We start from the raw sequence: 19,223 nt of genomic DNA on the forward strand, positions 1-19,223 counted from the left end.
AATAAATAAATAACATATATAATATATTGAAAGGTGATCAATCTTGGAGGGGGTAAGAGGGGACTGAAGCAAGGAAAGGGGATAGGGAGTACAGATAGGGGATGCAATTTTAAATAGTGTGGTCAAAGTAGACCTCACCGAGAAAGTGGTATTGAAGCAAAGTTCTGTAGGAAGGTGAGGGAGTAGGAAAATGGGAAAGAGCATTCCAGACAGAAAAAAGCAAATGTAATATCCTGAGTTGGGAACACCCCTGGCATGTTCAAGAGGCAGTGAAGAGTCCAGTCTGGCTGAAGCAGAGCAAATGAGGAAGAGAGGAAATCATGTTGGGCCTTCTTGGCCATTGTTAAGACTTTGCCATTTGCTCTGACTGAGATGGGAAGGCACCATAAGGTTGCTAACAGAAGAATAACGTGATGTGATCCGGTTTTTAACAGAACCACTCTGGCTGCTGGGAAAAAAAACAGCAACAAATAAAACAGAGTATAGAATGGCAGAAAAGTGGTACGGTTGGTGTTGGGGGATAAATATCAGCATGCTTGTATGCTGATGGTTATGCTTGAGTGAAAAGGGAAAAATTGATGCTACAAGAAAAATAAAAGAAGATTGTTGGAGACATGTTCTTGAGTAAGCAAGAGGGGAATGGCTCTAGTATGCAAGTGGTGGAGCTAAGAACACAGAGTGTTAACCAGTAGTCCCGGAGGAAGGCAGAATTTACAGGAACAGATGAATATAAGTGGGTAAATGTGACGGTGGGAGGTTGTGCTATTTCTTTCACATTTGCCTCAATATTGCAGTGAAGCAGAAAGCAAGACCATCAGCGGAAAGTGAAGATGGAGCAGTAGGTACCACAAATTTGAGGAGAAAACAATCACTCATACATGAATGCATCTGTAAGTAATCTCTTGAAAAATGCATAAAACTGTACATGCATTACTAAACTCTTGGCTATAGATTTGGTTCCAGAAAAAAAAAAAAAAAGACCAGAAAACATTTTTACACATACAGCATATGGAAAGCCATCTGAATACAACAACATGTACAAACGAAGTGATGTGATTTGGCATGTTTCCATGAAGCAATAAAAGCTGTAAGTAATTTCCCTAAATTCTATTGAGATTTGAATCAGGCAAATACCTCTTTATTACTGGAAGTCATCTGAACCTAGGTCATTGCATTAGGAGTGAAATACTGGAGTGTAAAACATATGTCCAGTTGACATGTGTCAACCAATGTGAAACACTGGTGAAGGGGAACATTATCGTAGGGTCTATCTCACACCCACACCAAATCCAGTCACCAACTGCCTTTCTAACTGATTTATGTGTTCCCAAACGTTGGGAATCTGGAATTCTCAGGTTATATTTAACCCTCTCTTCTCCAGTAACAGCTCAGCTAACAGTTCTACTACAGGAAAACATGCTTAGATTACACTCATTTCCACTACAAGATTTCACTAACTGAGTAAGACAATTTGAGGGTACAATATATAAAGAGTTAAGATGCCAGCCTGGCCAACATGGTGAAATCCTGTCTCTACTAAAAATACAAAAATTAGCTGGATGTGGTGGCACACACCTGTAGTCTCAGCTACTCAGGAGGCTGAGGCAGGAGAATCACTCGAACCCCTGAAGGCAGAGGTTGCAGTGAGCCAAGATCACACCACTGCCCTCCAGCCTGGGCGACAGAGCAAGACTCTGCCCCCACCCAAAAAAAAGAGTTAAGGTGAATTAAAACCCAAAACATGTCATTCTATTCACTGTTTTTTAAACTTGCAATATTTTAAAGCATTACACCCTTCCTTGGTGTCTTGGAAGGCTGTCCTCCAGTCCAAGCTTTGATAATACTGTCCAGCATCCTATGGATGGTTGTTGATGTGCCGGTCCAGGCTTTGGAGAGCTAGTAACAAGGATAAGTAGACACTGCAGACCTCCATACACAGAGCACTTAACCAAGCAGGGGATGGGGGGAAGCCAGCAGTGCAAGGAGCGGGAAGAGGCCACAGTTCTTGTTCTCAGCCTTCAGCTCTCTGTGGACTTACCCGTGGCCTCATCTTGGAAGCCTAGGAGGTTTGTCCCCAGATAGAGATGCTAAGCTTTAGAATATTAATCTGTTACCCATTTTCACCTTCCCTTTTAACTCAGGGAATTTTCACTTTTTTAATATTTTGAGAAAATAAATGGCTTAATTGCATTATTTTTATTATGTTGTTTTATACATAAGTTAAATATCTTATTTATGTATGATGGTTTTATTTTATCTGAATGATATTTAACCTATCTTGTCCTTCCTATTTGTAACATTTTACCACTTTTAGTCATATTTAAAAGCCTGTATTTTTTATTTAATTTTGTAATGACTTTTACTTCTCTTAACTACTTTCTATAACAGCTATATTTATTTGTTTTGTCTTTTTTTCCTTACCTATTTGTAGTATTGCTTCTGCTTTGTTAGCATTGCCTAGTAGTTCCCCTATTTCTTCCAGTTTTAACAGCCACTCCCCATTCCCCTCCACACTCTCAAACTCCCAGCTAAACCCCTCAAGCCAGACAATTTATGAGATTTAACATCCACAGTTCCTTCCTTGGACAATACATTTCCTATTCTAGCTGCACATGCTTGCCCATAGGGAATGATATTTGTGTCTCACACCGTGCTCAGTAGCATCCTTCTGCTAGAAGTTCTGTGATCTAGAATCCATGGTCTCTCCTGTATAAAATCAATGCATGGAAACAAGATCTGTGGAGAATCACTGTACAACAGGAGGAGGAGGGCCACACGAGGTTTCTTTCACATTGTCCCCAAGCTTATTCTAGCAGGGGGGATCCCAATGTAACATCTCTCCAAAAAATGAACTACCTTAAAGACACCACAAAACCTGAAGGTGTTTTGTTGTTGTTTTTGAGACAGAGTCTTGCTTGTCGTCCAGGCTGGAGTGCGATGGTGCGATCTTGGCTTGCTGCAGCCTCCGCCTCCCGAGTTCAAGCAATTCTCGTGCCTCAGCCACTGAAGTAGCTGGGACTACAGGCACTCACCACCATGCCCGGCTAATTTTTGTATTTTTAGTAGAGACTGGGTTTCACCATGTTGGCCAGGCTGGTCTCAATCTCCTGGCCTCAGGTGATCTACCCAACTCGGCCTCCAAAAGTGCTAGGATTACAGGTGTGAGCCACCATGACTGGCCAAAACCTGAAGGTTTTTAAAAAACATAAACTCCCTCAACTTGCCTATAGCTAATATGATTAATCTGCTTTCCAATTTTGCTATAAAAAATTCTGTTCTTAAGTAAGTAACCCACACGCCTCTCTGAGTTTCAAGCTTCAAGGAGAAGTGAGCTATGCCAGGAATTATCCCTAATAAGAGTGTGGGTTTGGTTTGGTTTCAGTTTGTTTTTTTTTCAGATAGATAGATGACTGATAAATAAAAAGACAGATAATAGATAGACTGATTGATGTATAGATGATTGATAGATGGTAGGTAAATAGATAGATGATCAACAGATAGATGATCTATTGATTACATTCAGCTGTACTTTTGCTGGATCCCTTGAAGACCAGAATCTTATTAAGCAGCTGGAGTGTGCTGTGAACCTCAAAGCCTCACAAGAATGTATAAGCTGCCTCAATCCAACTAAAAAGATCACTCTTTCACAAGGGAGGCCACTCAGTTCGGAGAAGGGGCTGAGGCCAGACACCTGCACTCCTCTACTTCATTCCCTCAAAGAAAGCAGGATGCCATTTTGGTTAAAGCTGAGTTTCTAAAAACAACCTGATAAATGATCAGGGCCTAGCCCATGTCCATGATTCCCCTAAACTTAGAGATATTTCACAAGTTAATTTTCTACTTACATTTCCTGAACAATGTGCTTAAATAAGAATCAATCTCCTTCAGCCAGGCATGGTGGCTCACACCTGTGATCCCAGAACTTTGAGAGGCCAAGTCGGGTGGATTGCTTGAGCTCAGGAGGTTGACACCAGACTGGTCAACACGGCAAGACCCTAGCTCTACAAAAAATGTTTTAATTAGCTCAGTGTGGTGATGTGTGCCTGTAGTCCCAGCTACTTGGGAGGCTGAGGTGGGAGGATCACTTGAGCCCTGGAAGTCAAGGCTGCAGTGAGTTGTGATGGTGCCACTGCCCTCCAGCCTGGGTGAAAACCTCTCTCTCTCTCTCTCTTTCTCCCTGCTTCCTATTCATCAATTCCTTAACATTATCAATGTTCTTTCCTTTCCTGGGAAAACATTTTGGGGCTTAGAGCTCAGCCTGTTTCTTACCAAAATGTATTTAATAACTCCAACCTCCTGTTCTTCCCTACTGCCATGGTTGTGCATCCTTCTCAGCTGGCTGGCTCGAGGCATAGAGGCTCTTACGTGCCTGCTGAACTGCTTGTCTTAAAGGCCCACAGGGTCTTCATCTTAAAGTGTTATGCCATGCCCTGCCTTATGTACCTCAGCACAGATGAACCACAGCTAGCCGGTTCTGATTCCCATCCTCAACCAGCAGTGAAAGACAAATTCAGCACTGGGCTTCATAAGGCTTACACTCAGGCCCAGGAGCACCCTCCAGGGAGCATGGCTCCTCACAGGCCCAGGAGGTTCTCAGGAGCATTCCATCAAGAAACAGATATTTTTCTCCTAGAATGTGATAGGACAGCATCCTACTACCAAATATATTTTTGCATGCTTTAAGATATTATGCTACTGAGAAATCCATATTAAGAAAACAAGTTATCTTGTTTCCAATCATTGAAGCCTTTTTGATTTTCTTAGAGACAAAAATGAGAGAAAAGAGGGAATTAGCCTACCTAATTTACAGCCATGTGGAAGGGACTGTAACTCAGCTCCCAGGATCAGACGGCTGCTGCCACCCCCACAACCACCTCCTGGGAGGTTACTCTTGGGCCTGCAGCTGCCACTCCCTTACCTTGCAGTTGCTGTTTGGGATTGTTTTGCTCTCCTGAGGCTATGTCATCTATGAATCAACAAACAGTAGCTGCAAGATGACAGCTGAGGAAGGAAAGCCCAGACAAAATCTTCAGGATGAATGAAAATGTATAACTCCTCTGGATTTAATTATCTGTAAACACGGTTCTTTTCCTCATGCTTATCTAATATCTATGTGGATTTTAAAATAAAATTCATAACACAAGTTCCCCCCACCCTCAAAAACAAAACCTCCCAGGATCATATTGTAATAACACCTGTTTATGCCCACCTGATTCATATTTGTAATAAGGTGAGCATGATATGCCTCTCCTGCAAGGATGCACACTGATTGTTCAGGTGCTTAGCCTCTGGTAAATGTGGTATTTATCTCTGAAGATTGCAATGTCAAGACTGGCAACAGTCTTGACAAAGTTTTTCCTGAGACAGTGAGATAAGTTGGACCAAAAGGATTGTTCCCACGTGGCGTAGGCCACTTTTCTACAGAGTTATTTGGAGCTAAATGAAAAACCTCCTGTCAAATCTATACATTTCACCAAATATTGCTGAGTGACAGCCTAGCCGCTGGAATGAGGCTAGTGTAAATTTCACTTATTTCTCAATTTTACAGATTAATGTTTTGGACTTTCTAGTAGCTAGCCCTGGCTTACTTATTACTATTCTTGGGATGAATATTTTAGTCCATGTTGAAAACCACCATTTAAATTTCCTGTAATATATAAAGAGTACTTTCAAACAAGTGGGTTGGATAAGTAAAAATAAAAACTAGTAGAAAAAAATAAGCAAAAGATATGAATAGATAGCTCAAAGAAAAACCAAATCTAAATGCCCAAGAACTATGTAAAAGTATGTTCAAATTCATTCATAATCAGGAAAATTAAAAGTAGCATAACCATGAGGTATCACTTTACACCCATAAAACTGCAGAACCTAAAAAAAAACTCTAACATTTGCATTCAGGGAGATATAAGGGACAGTACTAAAATATATGGAGGGTGAATTTTGAAATTGATTACAGCATTTATTGAAAGCAATCTGGCAACATCTATGAAAATTAAAATATATACACTTATCAACTTCCCAATCCCACTCCCAGAAACCTACCCTATGTTAGGCAAACATGATAACACTACACTACAAAAACCTGCAGAAATCTACCATATGGAATAAAAGTGCCAAAATATTAGGACACATGTGAAAGGCAGGGACTGCAAACAAAGTGAATGTCCATCAGTTGGGCTGAATTAATTGTGGTATGCTCACAGAATACCGTGCAGTCATTCCAAAGGATGAACTAGAGCAATAGAAGATCTGGAAGAACTTCAGGAGCTACTGTTGAAGGAGAAAAGTCAGATGCCAGAAAAAGCATTTATAATGTAATCTGTTCTCATTTTAAAAAATAATTTTAAAAAATCTTTATATGATGGATAGATAAAAATAATATACCTAGGCCAGGTGCAGTGGCTCACATCTGTAATCCCAACACTTTGGGAGGCCGAGGCGGGCAGAACACCTGAAGTCAGGAGTTCAAGACAAGCCTGGCCAACATGGTGAAACCCCATCTCTACTAAAAATATAAAAATTAGCCAGACATGGTGGTAGGTGCCTGTAATCCCAGCTACTCGGGAGGCTGAAGCAGGAGAATCACTTGAACCTGGGAGGCGGGGGTTGCAGTGAGCTGAGATGGCGCCACTGCACTCCAGCCTGGGGGATACAGCAAGACTCTGTCTCCAAAACAAAACAAAGCAAAACAAACAAAAACAGAAATAATAGACCTCTATAGAATTATATAAATGTGGATAAAAACATTAAAAAAGGACTTACTAGGCTGGATGCAGTGGCTCACACCTGTAATCCTAGCACTTTGGGAGGCTGAGTCAGGTGGATCACTTGAGGTCAGGGGTTCAAGACCAGCCCAACCAACATGGTGAAAGCCCATCTCTACTAAAAATACACAAAATTAGCTAGGTGTGGTGGCGTGTGCCTGTAATCCCAGCTACTTGGGAGGCTGAGGCAGGAGAATCGCTTGAATCTGGGAGGTGGATGTTGCAGGGAGCCGAGATCATGCCACTGCACTCCAGTCTGGGGGACAGAGTGAGACTCCATCTCAAAAAGAAAACCAAAATAAAATAAAAAAGGACTCACTAGACATTAATATGGGTCATTTGAAATGGTCAAGGAACTGAAATGGGATATGAAAGTCTGGGATGGGTGGGATGACAGGTCTCCATGATAAAAACAGAATATATGATGTGATCTGGTTCATGAAAAATTTTTATATAAATTAATATACGTGTTTAATATATAAACATATATTTAATGTATATATATTTTTAAAATTGGTGTGTATATGTATATTTTTATATGTACTCCTAAAAAGATACATGAAAATAATGATCAACAAAAGGTGAATGATGGTTATCTCAGGATAGTGGAATTTTACATGAACTTGACTTTCTTTTTTTATTTTTATATGTAGCTTTAATTCTTTAAGATAACCATATGCTACTTACATTTTATATACATTTACTTACATATTATAGGTAAATAAATTTAGATGTATTGAGAAATATATTTTGTATTATCTAATTTATATTTTATATAAAATAAAGTTATTTAATTCTGAAAAAAACAGCAAAATAAATAGGTCAATGAATGTTGTAAAGGAAAAAAATTCCCCTCTTCATAGCCCTTATAGTAAGGATTCTGCACTTATACTTACAGATAATTGCACTACTAAAACTAAGAGATTATTAAACTAAAATGTGGAAAATGTCCCTGTTTTTTATTTATTTATTTATTTATTTATTTATTTATTTATTTTTTGAGACAGAGTTTCGCTCTTGTCACTCAGGCTGGAGTGCAACGCACGATCTTGGCTCACTCCAACCTCCGCCTCACAGGCTTAAGAGATTCTCCTGCCTCAGCCTCCTGAGTAGCTGGGATTATAGGCACCTGCCACCACACCTGGCTAATTTTGTATTTTTAGTAGAGATGGAGTCTTTGCCATGTTGGTCAGAACATGAACTCCTGACCTCAGGTGATCCACCCAACTCGGCCTCCCGAAGTGCTGGGATTATAGTTGTGAGCCACCGTGCCGGGCCTGTTTTTTGTTTGTTTGTTTGTTTTTAATTAAATAGAGATGGGGTCTCACTATGTTGCCCAGGCTTGTCTTGCCCCTGGGATCAAGTAATTCATCTGCCTCAGCCTCCCAAAGTGCTGGGATTACAGGCGTGAACTCTTGTGCCTGGCCAGTTCCTGTTTTTGTAAGAATTTTTTTTTTAACTGGAAGAGCTGTTCCAATTGCTCTGCCTAGCTCCTACTAATAGATATTAACCGCCTCAGCCTGAACCAGTCTTGTAATTCATGTGAATACACTTCATACACGAATAAAGTATACAGTGACTATCCTTTGTCAGAGACCATTTAGTTTCTACCGCTGACTGTGTTACTCCTTTCATTAAAAAATTAGAAAAGAAAAATATAAGACTGAGAAGTGAACACTTGCTTGAGAACCATGTTGTATTGTTTACCTTCTTGTTTTCCCTGAAGATGCCCTCACGAAGGTGTGGGTAGCAACTTAGAGGGCAGGATGACAAGAATTCTAGCTGAGCAGCATGGAAGGGAAATAGAATAAATTAGTGTAGCTACCCATATTACCCTGCATCATCAGGGTGTCCACCTTTAGAAGGGAGGTCAGCACCCCATTATCTGGAAAAGAGTGACGGGAACCAAGAGATGAGGTCAGTGGGTACTAGGAGAAGGACAGAGGACAAAGGCAACTGTGTCTGGGGATTAAATGCCTGGCCCTTATTCCCAAGGGTCCTAATTCAGCACAAGGAAGGGAACAACTGTGTGGGGCAGCACAATGTGTGCAGAAGCTACTGCAGGCTGTTTCCTGCAAAAGAGGAACATTATACCTCAGCCAGCCATTGCCAGGACATTGCAGGAGAAGGATCTCTGCCTGGCTAGTGCTTGGAGTCCTCACACACCAAGACATTTGGTCACATTCAGACAATCACGAGTCTCACTTCAGGACACGTGTAAACCAACCACTGGGCAGAGAAGGAGATGCTCTCATGCCTGGATTTTGGAACCAGACAATGCTTCACTGGAGCAACTCCAGCAGGGAGAGAGTAGTGCGGGCATCTCGTTACAACTGTTTATGACTTGTAATGCCCTGTCATTTCCCTTTCCTTCTGGAGGCAGGAAGTGGCTCTGGGCCAAGCTGCTGGAGCTCAATATAGCCTCTGGTTATTTATGTTCACACGAAACCAGGATAGACACAAGTGGTCTCCTGACAAGTCAGATGACAACCTCCAGTGGTATGCGTTCCCGCCCTACTTCTTTCTAATTTATATGTTCATAATTTGAAATTAGTGTAGCTGACCTGGAGGATATCTCCTGCCACAGACAGTAAGGAGATAAGTATTCTCCTACATTATATTCATATGGTTTTCTTATGAACCAGGGCATGGAGTCCATAAAAAATTGATTCTTGAGTCTATTACCAGAGAGTCTCCATATGTTTTTATGTAGTTTTATGTTAAAGCTAAAAGTATATGTCTTTGATAGTCTCCAAAACTAAACTCCAAAGTTTAACATTAAGTATCTACTTACTGTAAATTAATTTGATTTGTTATCTAGAAGTACATTTTTCTCTTAATTTGTCCTGGAAAATATCCCAGAAAAGCAACCCCAAAATTCTGAAACCTGTCTCTTCCTCTTCATCAACTCTGTCACCTTCTGATTTTTAATGTTTCTTGATTGGACAATTTCAACAGCATTTACGAGTCTCTGTGCCTCTGATCTGTCTCCTCCTGGCTACTTCCAGTGAACCCATTCAGCTCACACACATGTGTGAGAATATGCAGCTGTACACCAGGAACACAGAACAGACTACCATGGGGGCTGGCTTTCAGCCCTGGAATTTACTCAGGCCACCTCCTGTGCCCATGTATTCCAATCTGATATCCTTTGCTCTTGTTTCTTCTGGGTCACTGACTCTAGTGCTGATGGTTCTTTGTGGACATCCTACGCCAGTTCAACCTCATTATCTCTCCCAGGCACAATCTTGATAGTCACCTAGTTCTAGCATTCTACTCCTAGCACTTGGGTCTAGGAGACTGGTCCCACACCAGCGCTTCATTACCCAGTTGTTGGCTAGGGGAAGACCACTAATCTATCTATCTAATCTATTCTCTAAATTGAAGCTAGATTCTAATCTAGTTTTATATCTAATCCAGCCTCTAAACTGAAGCTAGGTTCTTCTTTCTTAAATTAAATGCTTATACTGTCTTTCCCCTGCTTAAACTTTTTGAGTGGCTCCTATGGTCTGCAAGGTAAAGTTCAAACTCCCTGTTGGCAAATACGGCAGTTCAAGTCCTTCCTGATGTTGCTCCAAACACCCCCTCCAGCTGACTCACAACTCCCCCATTGCCAGAATGCATGACTTTTGTCTTCACCATTATGATATACTGGCCTTTTCTCTGATGTACCATGATTTCCTACCTCTGATATTCCCCCTTTCTGGAATGCTCTTTCTTGTATTATTTACCAAATAAATTCTAACTCAGTCTTCAAAATTAAATATAAATGTTTTCTTCTCCAGAAAACTTTTCTTTTTTCTCTTTTGAGACAAGGTCTTGCTCTGTTGCTCAGGCTGGAGTGCAGTGGTATGAACATGGCCCACTGCAGCCTTAACCTTCCCGGCTCAAGCAATCCTCCCACCTCAGCTTTCTGAGTAGAGCTGGGACCACAGATGCACACTACTATGCCTGGTTAATTTTTAAATTTTTTGTAGAGACGGGGTGTCCCTTCACTCCCAGGCTGGGCTTGAACTCCTAGGCTCAAGTGATCTTCCCACCTTAGCCTCCCAAAGTGCTGGGATTACAGGTATGAGCCACCTCGCTTGGCCTTTTCTTGATTTCTCTCAGCAGAACCTACCAGTTCATTCTTGATGGTCCTACAGGGCCTTCTGACCTTGTTGTATATCACAGTCATCATTTGTTGCTAATGTTTATCTTCTCACTAAACCACAGACTCTAAGGAAAGGACTGTCCTTTGTTAATCTTTAATTCTGAGTTCCTAACATAATATCTTGCCCAGCATAATTGTTGAATGAAGGAAACTAACAATTGAATGAATGAAAGTTAGAGTAGATCTAAAATACATTCCTGGGAAAATTTTAATGTTACCTTTGGATTAATAACTTTTCAGAGTTGGGCAATATCATTGATTTCTTAATAGTGAAAGAGAAGGCGAAGCATGTATTCTACAGTCTGTGACCAACAATGTGAGAGAGGTCACAATTGTTTCTCTGGGACACATTCTCCAGGAATTCTGAAATAGAAGAGGTTGTGATGGGAAAGAAGGGAAGAAAAATAAAGAATTTCAAAAAGTCAGTGACTTATGGTTTTGCTAGATAAAAAAGGAAAATGTTTGCTTTGATATCATTTTCAAATATATGAACTACTAGCCAGGTGCGGTGGCTCATGCCTATAATTCTAGTGCTTTGGAAGGCCAAGGTGGGAGGATCACTTGAACCCAGGAGCTCAAGGCTGCAGAGAGCTATGACTGCACCACTGAGCTCCAGCCTGGGTGACAAAGTGAGATCCTGTCTCAAAAAAAAAACCCAAATATATATATATATATAAAATACATATATATTATACATATATATAAATAAAATACATATATATTATACATATATATAAATAAAATACATATATATTATACATATATATATATATGTTACCAGAAAGGAAACCATAACTAACAAATATTGTACAAGTTAGGAGAGAAGGAGTATTTGTGTCTGGTAATATAAAGCTGTGTAAGTGATACTATGAAGGCACATCATTCTGGCAGGCAGGCAGGACATTGGCTAAGAAGACATGATGCTCTATTAATAATTGTCATTATTGATAGAGTTCTACCGAAGTGTTCATAATTTTTTGTGGTCATTGTTTCCTTCTTAATGACGGGAAAAATAATATTTTTTGTGTGCGGCATCAGAGTATAGAATCTCGAGATCTGTTTACAACTTACTTAACTGATGTGTGTGCTTTTGATGGTTCTACTTCTTTATTTATTTGTTTTTATTCTGAAAAGTTAGATGGGGAAGAATAGTCCCCCAAACCCCACCTTCCACATCTCATAGATGCTGTACTTATGATTCTCTGATCCATTTCTATGTAGAGGTAGAATTAATCATCCAAGATGTACTGAAAGATTTTATATATTAATAATAGGATGACAATCTGACCTCTACTGTTTTTATTTTCAAAGCATGGTTCGATCTCAACCAGCCACAGAGACCACTGATGAATCAGTCCCTGGATGGTGCAGGCAACCTCAACATTACCCACCTCCTACCCGGCTTCTATCAGCCTTCCTGAGAGTGGTATTATTTAGAAATTCTCTTTTATGACATGCAATACCTCTCTTCTTCTAGGTCCTATATTATAGCCTTGAATCAAATCAAACTGTCAAATGAGATGTCTATCAACAAAATCTGCAAGAAATAGTCATAGAAAATTTACTATTTAACTTCCTATTAAAAAATCAGTGGGCTCATTAATGACTACTCCTTACATAAAGTTTCAAGTGTAACATTTCTTTAAAACAAAAAGAGAGAGAAAAAGAGTACAGGACTAGGAAAGTCTTCACTACCCTAAAAGAAATTGTGTGTGCTTCCTGTTTCTTAATAAGGGTAAGTCAAAATTACAGCCCAGAAGCCTGCTGACTTCTCTGGGTTCTCCCAGCCCTATTCACAGTAAAAGTTCTACCTCACCATTATCAGGCAACATGGCTACTCCAGCCCTTACTTGCTGTCTCTTAAGTTCATATCTCCATCTCTTCTTGCTTTTCTTCTATTTTTCTTAAGCCTTTAAGTCTTGCTCTTTGATTCATTCATGCAATAAATGTATTGAAATATATTGAGAGTCCACTATGTATTAAATATTATGCTATGTACCAGAGATTATGAATAAGACAGAAACAGTCATGGAGTTTGCAATTTAAGTGAGGTTTAGCTGTTTTACAAACCCATGATTTTTCTGTTGAAATTCCAGGCTTTGTACAGCTCAGTTAGTCCCCAGTATTGGTCCTCCTGGTCCAGAGGCCCCTGCAGACATTACGTGCCCATCAAGGAGCTGAACAGCAAGGTGATGAAAATCGAAGTTCTACTCATTTGCAACCTCCTGCTAAGGGGCAGATTCTGCCAAAGGCTACTGACTTTTGAGGATGTTCTAATTCCCCTGACATGATCTTTGTCTACCTCTTCACCCACTCTGTTCCTTGCATGCTCTACTTAGTACTTAATTATCCCATTTCCCTGATCACTCTGTCTTTCAATTTTTTATGTCTTTGCAAATGCTGTTCCTTCTTACCCTTCCTTTGCCAACTCATCCATCTGGCATACTCCCATTTATCATTCAAATTACTGCTTAGGACACCTTCTCCTAGATGCCTGCTGGCATCTCCTCTATTCTTTTCCTCCTTCCCCAAAGTACTCCCTCCCTCTTCTGTACTGGAGTGGTAGAGTGCAACAGTTTCTAGCTTGCTTTCCAAAGTCAAATTCATCTGAGTTCATCTCCTGGATGTACCACTTAGTCACTATGTGGCCTTGAACAATGTATATAATCTTTCTGGGTCCCAGTTTTGTGATATGCAAACTTTCCTGATAGACAGTAATACTATCTATCCCATAGGATTGTTCAAATTAAATTATATAAAGAATACACAGTACTTAGAACAGATTCAGACACATAGGAAGCAATTTTACCATTGGTCATATGACATTAGGTTATAGTTATTTATTTAGGTTCGCTCTATCCCACTAGAATGGCAGCTCCTTAAGAGTAAGAACGATGTTTTATTCATCACAGGGCCCAGCATACAGTAAATGTGGGTTCTGAACTGAACCTAATAACGGTATAAAATATGTATATCATAATTCATTGCAATTCAAATGCAAGGAATTTTAAATAACAACTCATAGGGACAGCTGTGCTAACTGCAATTAGAGATCACCCTGTTCCCATGGCCTTTTAAAAACTTCCTCTTCCTATATGGCTTAACATCCATCATTCTACAGTTATCTATCAAATGCCTGCTAGGTGCCAAAGCAGTGGAGATACCTTAGTGAATGTTGGCAGCCCACACCTCCAGAAAAGAAATGAACAAGTAAACCAGCTCTATTAGTCCATTCTCGCATTTCTATAAAGAAATGTCTGAGACTGGGTAATTTATAAAGAAAAGAGGTTTAATTCGCCCACAGTTCCACAGGCTGTACAGGAAGCATGGCAGCATCTCCTTCTGAGGAGGCCTCAGGGAGTTTTCACTCATGGCAAAAGGCAAGGAGGGAGCAGATATCTTACATGGCAAGAGCAGGACTGAGAAGGAGTGGGGAGGTACTACACACTTTTTTTTTTGAGATGGAGTCTGGTTCCGTCGCCAGGCTGGAGTGTAGTGGCGCGATCTCGGCTCACTGCAACCTCTACCTCCCAGGTTCAAGGATTCTCCTGCCTCAGCCTCCCGAGTAGCTGGAACTACAGGCACGCTCCACAACACCCAACTAATTTTTGTATTTTTAGTAGAGATGGGGTTTCACCATGTTGGCCAGGATGGTCTCGATCTCTTGACCTTGTGATCTGCTCACCTCAGCCCCCAAACTGCTGGGACTACAGGCGTGAGCCACCGCGCCCACCCTACACACTTGAACAACCAGATCTAACAGTAACTCACTCACTATCATGAGAACAGCGCCAAGGGAACGGTGCTAAACTATTCATGAGGAACCACCCCCGTGATCCAATCACCTCCCACCAGGCCCCACCTCCAACAGCGAGGATTACAATTGAACATGATATTGGGGTGGGGACACAGATCCAAACCATAGCTACTGTAACCGCCTAATGGGTCCACCTGGCCCGTTGCCTAGACAGAGCCGATTTATCAAGACAGGGGAACTGTAATGTTGAAAGAGTGATTACACAGAACCAGCTGTGCAAGAGACCAAATTTTATTATTACTCAAATCAGTCTCCCCGAGCACTCAGGGATCAGAGTTTTTAAAAATAATTTGGCGAGTATGGGCTCGGATAGTGAGGAGTGCTGATTGGCTGGGTTGAAGATGAAATTATAGGGGGTCGAAGTGAGTTCTTTCTTGCTGACTTCTGCTCCTGGGTGGGATTGCAGAACTGGTTGAGCCAGATTATTTGTAGGTCTGGGTGGTGTCATCATCTGCTGCATAAGAATGCAGGGTCTGCAAAATATCTCAAGCACTGATCTTAGGTTTTACAACAGCGATGTTATTCCCAGGAGCAATTTGGGGAAGTTCAGACTCTTGCAGCCAGAGGCTGTATGGCATGGCATAATTTCTAATTTTGTGGCTAATTTGTTAGTCTTACAAAGGCAGACTGGTCCCCAGGCAAGAAGGGGTTTTTCGGGAAAGGGCTATTATCAATTTTGTTTCAGAGTTTAAACTATAAATTCCTTTCCAAGGCTAGTTTGGCCTACGCCCAGGAATGAACAAGGACAGCTTAGAGGTCAGAAGCAAGATGGAGTCGGTTAAGTCTGATCTCTTACACTGTCATAATTTCCTCAGTTATGATTTTTACAAAGGTGGTTTCATTACCAGCTTATACCATAAAGTCCTGCTGGGAGTCACAGTGGGATACCATGCAAAATGCTGTGAGAAAACTTCAGAGAAGCAACTAACCAATTTTTGGAGTCCAAGAAAGGAAATCCTGCTGGAATTAGGAGACCATAGACTTTTCGAAGTGTACCCTTTACCCACTTACCCACTAAGTGATCAACCTGTTGCCCAGAGGCGCCCCTTGTCCAGAGACATCCTGTGCTAACTTGTTCTTGCATTGCTATAAAGAAATCACCTCAGACTAGGTGATTTATAAAGAAAACAGGTTTAATTGGCTCAGGCTTCTGCAGGATGTAGAGGAAGGATGCATCTGCTCAGCTTCTGGGGAGGCCTAAGGGAACTTTTACTCAAGATAAAGGTGCAGCGGGAGGAGGCATGTCAAAGGCAAAGACAGGAGCAAGAGAGAAAGTGGGGGGAGGTGCAAAACACTTTTAAAGGACCAGATCGCTCAAGAACTCATGCACTACTGAGAGGACAGCACCAAGTCATCAGGGATCCACCCACATGACTCAAACACCTCCCTCCAGGCCCCACCTCCAACGCTAGGGATTACATTTTAACAGGAGATTTGGTGGGGACGCATATTCAAACTATATCACACACTTCTGTTACTATTAAGGACAGATTCTGAACAGCAGTGCCTTAGGGTCTTGGACAACGCTAACTTCCTTACAGCATTACTCCCGGAAGGATATCCAGCCCTTAGAAGCTGATATAGTTAAAAGCAAATAGATTGTAAAAACCATAAAATGCCTGGGGCCATGCTAACTAGAGCTCTGAGGCCTCTGAGAATTGACTGCAGTAAATCTTCCTGTCTTATGCAACCACATGTCTCTTCTTAGAAGGATCCAGGTTTTTTCAAATCACCCGTTAAAATTATTCATCCATAAATTATTTTTATTATGATCTAAAAGGCTTTAATTCTGTTTGATGTAATCCGTGCTTTACATACAAAACATTCTGAGATAATCTCTAAGTTTTCATCAATTTATTAGACATCTACTGAGGTGCCATGATCATTATCACAAACTGAAGGGTTTTCATATCTTGACTTTTTTAATTCTTTGTCTCCAATCTTAATTATCACACACTCAATTTTCCCACACCTGTAGGTTTATTTATATAGTGAAGTAATTTGGGGAAGGGTATAAATACACTGAAGAATGCAAAAGTCAACAGAATCCCTCATCAGACTTTCAAATGGCTTCTGGACATAGCTCAGCTGTCTCCTTTCTGGAACTTCCAAACTGTATAGCAGGGGCTCCTTCCTTTATCTGAGCATCACACTAGGGCATGCTCAGGACAGTTCTCTTTAATTCATACTTTTTTTTCTTTCCATGTCAACTACAGTACTTTGCCCCTGGTATCACTAACAGAATATAATTCCAGGTGTTGAATTTGAGTTCATTGGTAAAGGTTAAGGGCTCTGATTGTCTGGAAGAACTCAGTTTGAATTTTAACTCAGCCACTGACTAGCTGTGTGACCTTGGGAAATTTACGTCACATCTCTAGACCTAGTTTCCTTATCTGAATAGAGTGGTTATAAAGATTGCATGAGATAACATATGTGAAAAGCTTAGATCATTTTAATAACCAAGAATCTTTCTGTTTTACATGTATTAACTCATTTATCCCTTATAAGATGACCATCCCATGGGACACTTAGGGATATATGTCATGTCACTATTTTACAGGGAGTTCATATCTCCCCTACATGGTACATTCTGTAACTCCCAGTCACAAAGATGAAGGCCAGCTTTCTTACCAAGGCCAGGCTTGAGGTGCTAGTTGCTCTAGGCATACAAGCCCTCAAACCCTTCTAAATAGCGCTTTTCACATGCTCCACGCAGCTGTTTCCCTGAGATAGGCAGCCTGCAACTCTTTGCACTAGCTGCAAACATGTCTCTGCATTTTAGTCCGACAGAGCTGGCTTTGCTGACATCAAGGACGTGGTGCAAAGCACAGCTCTTTAGTTTCCAAATGAATGAAAATGACATATTGAAAGCGGGGCTGGCCACAGTATCTAGCTAGAAAACAATAATGACTCACAGGAAAGACAAAGACTGAGTAAGCACCAACGAAAGGCCACTCATCCCTTCATTAACATCACTGGGGAAAATATGGTCTCACTATGGAACAACCAAAAACATACAGACAAAAGTCTCCTGGGCTTTTGAGCATAGTCTAATTCCCATCTGGCTTATAAATTTCCTAACTTCTAAATTAATTACACTAGGAGTTGGAAGAGAATAAACAGTGGCCATAGATATTAGAAATTTTTACATGTGGCATGTATCTGCATCACGACTAGCATTGCTAATCAATTGTGAAATGACTATTAGGTAGCTTTGATAAGAGAGTTTCTTATTAGTCTTAGATATTGGACTACAAAAATAGTCCACCAGCAACAAAAAGAGATTGAATCTTCTTTACTACATCTGTATATTGTCAGAGGTCCAGACAGAAATCTAAAAAATATATAAGAATAAATAAAATATTTATTGTGATACTCCTTCCTTGTTTAATATATTATCATGACAATACATGTCTTAATGCTATGTAATTTTGGCATATCTTAAATATAAAAGTGTCCAATTGATTCATTATTTTTATAGCTAATTATTCAATATATTAACAATTATATTTGTGCAACAAAAACATATCTTGATTTTTAATGCTGGTAAATGTTAAGATTTTGAAGTAAAAATACTATTTACATAATATTCCTGAGAAAAATTATTCAGGTAAAAGGCTCTTGTGAATCACTTTCTTGGGGACCTTGCAGGAATTACCAACAAAAATTGAGAGCCATAAAGGAAATGTCTGAAATATTAGAGGCTGTGTGTCAAAGTATCTTGTATTAACTAAATCAAGCGCTTATTAACAGAAGACAAACCTTGTATATATTTTTAATGTTTTTGGCTCCCCAGCATCTAAGCCCCTTCACTATGCATGAGAAACCTCATGAGGCAGAGCCCACCTCCCACTCTAGAAGCTGAACATTCTAAGTACTAGCTTGCCTGGCCTCTCTTGCAGCTAGGATGATGGCATGTGGCTTTGAGTCATCTGATTGGATGCATTCCCCTCACATTTTGAACCCAGAGCTCATGACCAAAGAAGGAGGAACCTCAAGGAGTCCATTCTGGCAAGGGTAATAGCAGGGACAGAAGCTATATTCATTTTGCAGAAGCAGCAAGCATAACAATTCTAGTGGCCACCTCCAGTGCCAGCATCAGGCTGGAGGTAAGACAAGCTGTGGTGTCAGTGCCTATTGGCAGAGGCATTGATATCTTCCTGGAATACTTCTGTTGCATAATGTTGGTCATAGTGCCAGGCTCCACAGCCTCCAAGCTCAGTTCTCCAGCACTTCTAGAGACTGTCAGGCATACCAATATTCTTTAATAAATTCTATCACATGAGACCAGAATCCTGATTATTTCATTGTTTTTACTTTAGAAAACATTGGACTTCTTTTAAAATAAAAAATGAACAAAGTTTTCAATATTTATTTTTAAAAATATTTACTCCAGCTATATATTATAGCTTGGGGAATGAGGTAGTTTCTCAAGCAAGCCAAGGTAATGCACAGGCTAATTAGTTAAGAGAGAAAAGGACACAGAAAC

General features: G+C 40.4%; 3 annotated features.

Annotated features, from left to right (window-relative positions):
• Positions 15,884–16,178: an enhancer, noted in NCBI's record as "tiled region #12390; K562 Activating DNase matched - State 5:Enh". NCBI's record gives its function as "activates a minimal TATA promoter and a strong SV40 promoter by Sharpr-MPRA in K562 cells {active_cell/tissue: K562}" and the evidence as "EXISTENCE:reporter gene assay evidence [ECO:0000049][PMID:27701403]".
• Positions 17,267–17,436: an enhancer, noted in NCBI's record as "active region_5498". NCBI's record gives its function as "activates an Ori minimal core promoter by ATAC-STARR-seq in GM12878 lymphoblastoid cells {active_cell/tissue: GM12878}" and the evidence as "EXISTENCE:reporter gene assay evidence [ECO:0000049][PMID:35858748]".
• Positions 17,737–17,786: an enhancer, noted in NCBI's record as "active region_5499". NCBI's record gives its function as "activates an Ori minimal core promoter by ATAC-STARR-seq in GM12878 lymphoblastoid cells {active_cell/tissue: GM12878}" and the evidence as "EXISTENCE:reporter gene assay evidence [ECO:0000049][PMID:35858748]".

Source organism: Homo sapiens, chromosome 11 (genome assembly GCF_000001405.40).
Source record: "Homo sapiens chromosome 11, GRCh38.p14 Primary Assembly".
NCBI classification, from domain to species: Eukaryota; Metazoa; Chordata; class Mammalia; order Primates; family Hominidae; genus Homo; species Homo sapiens.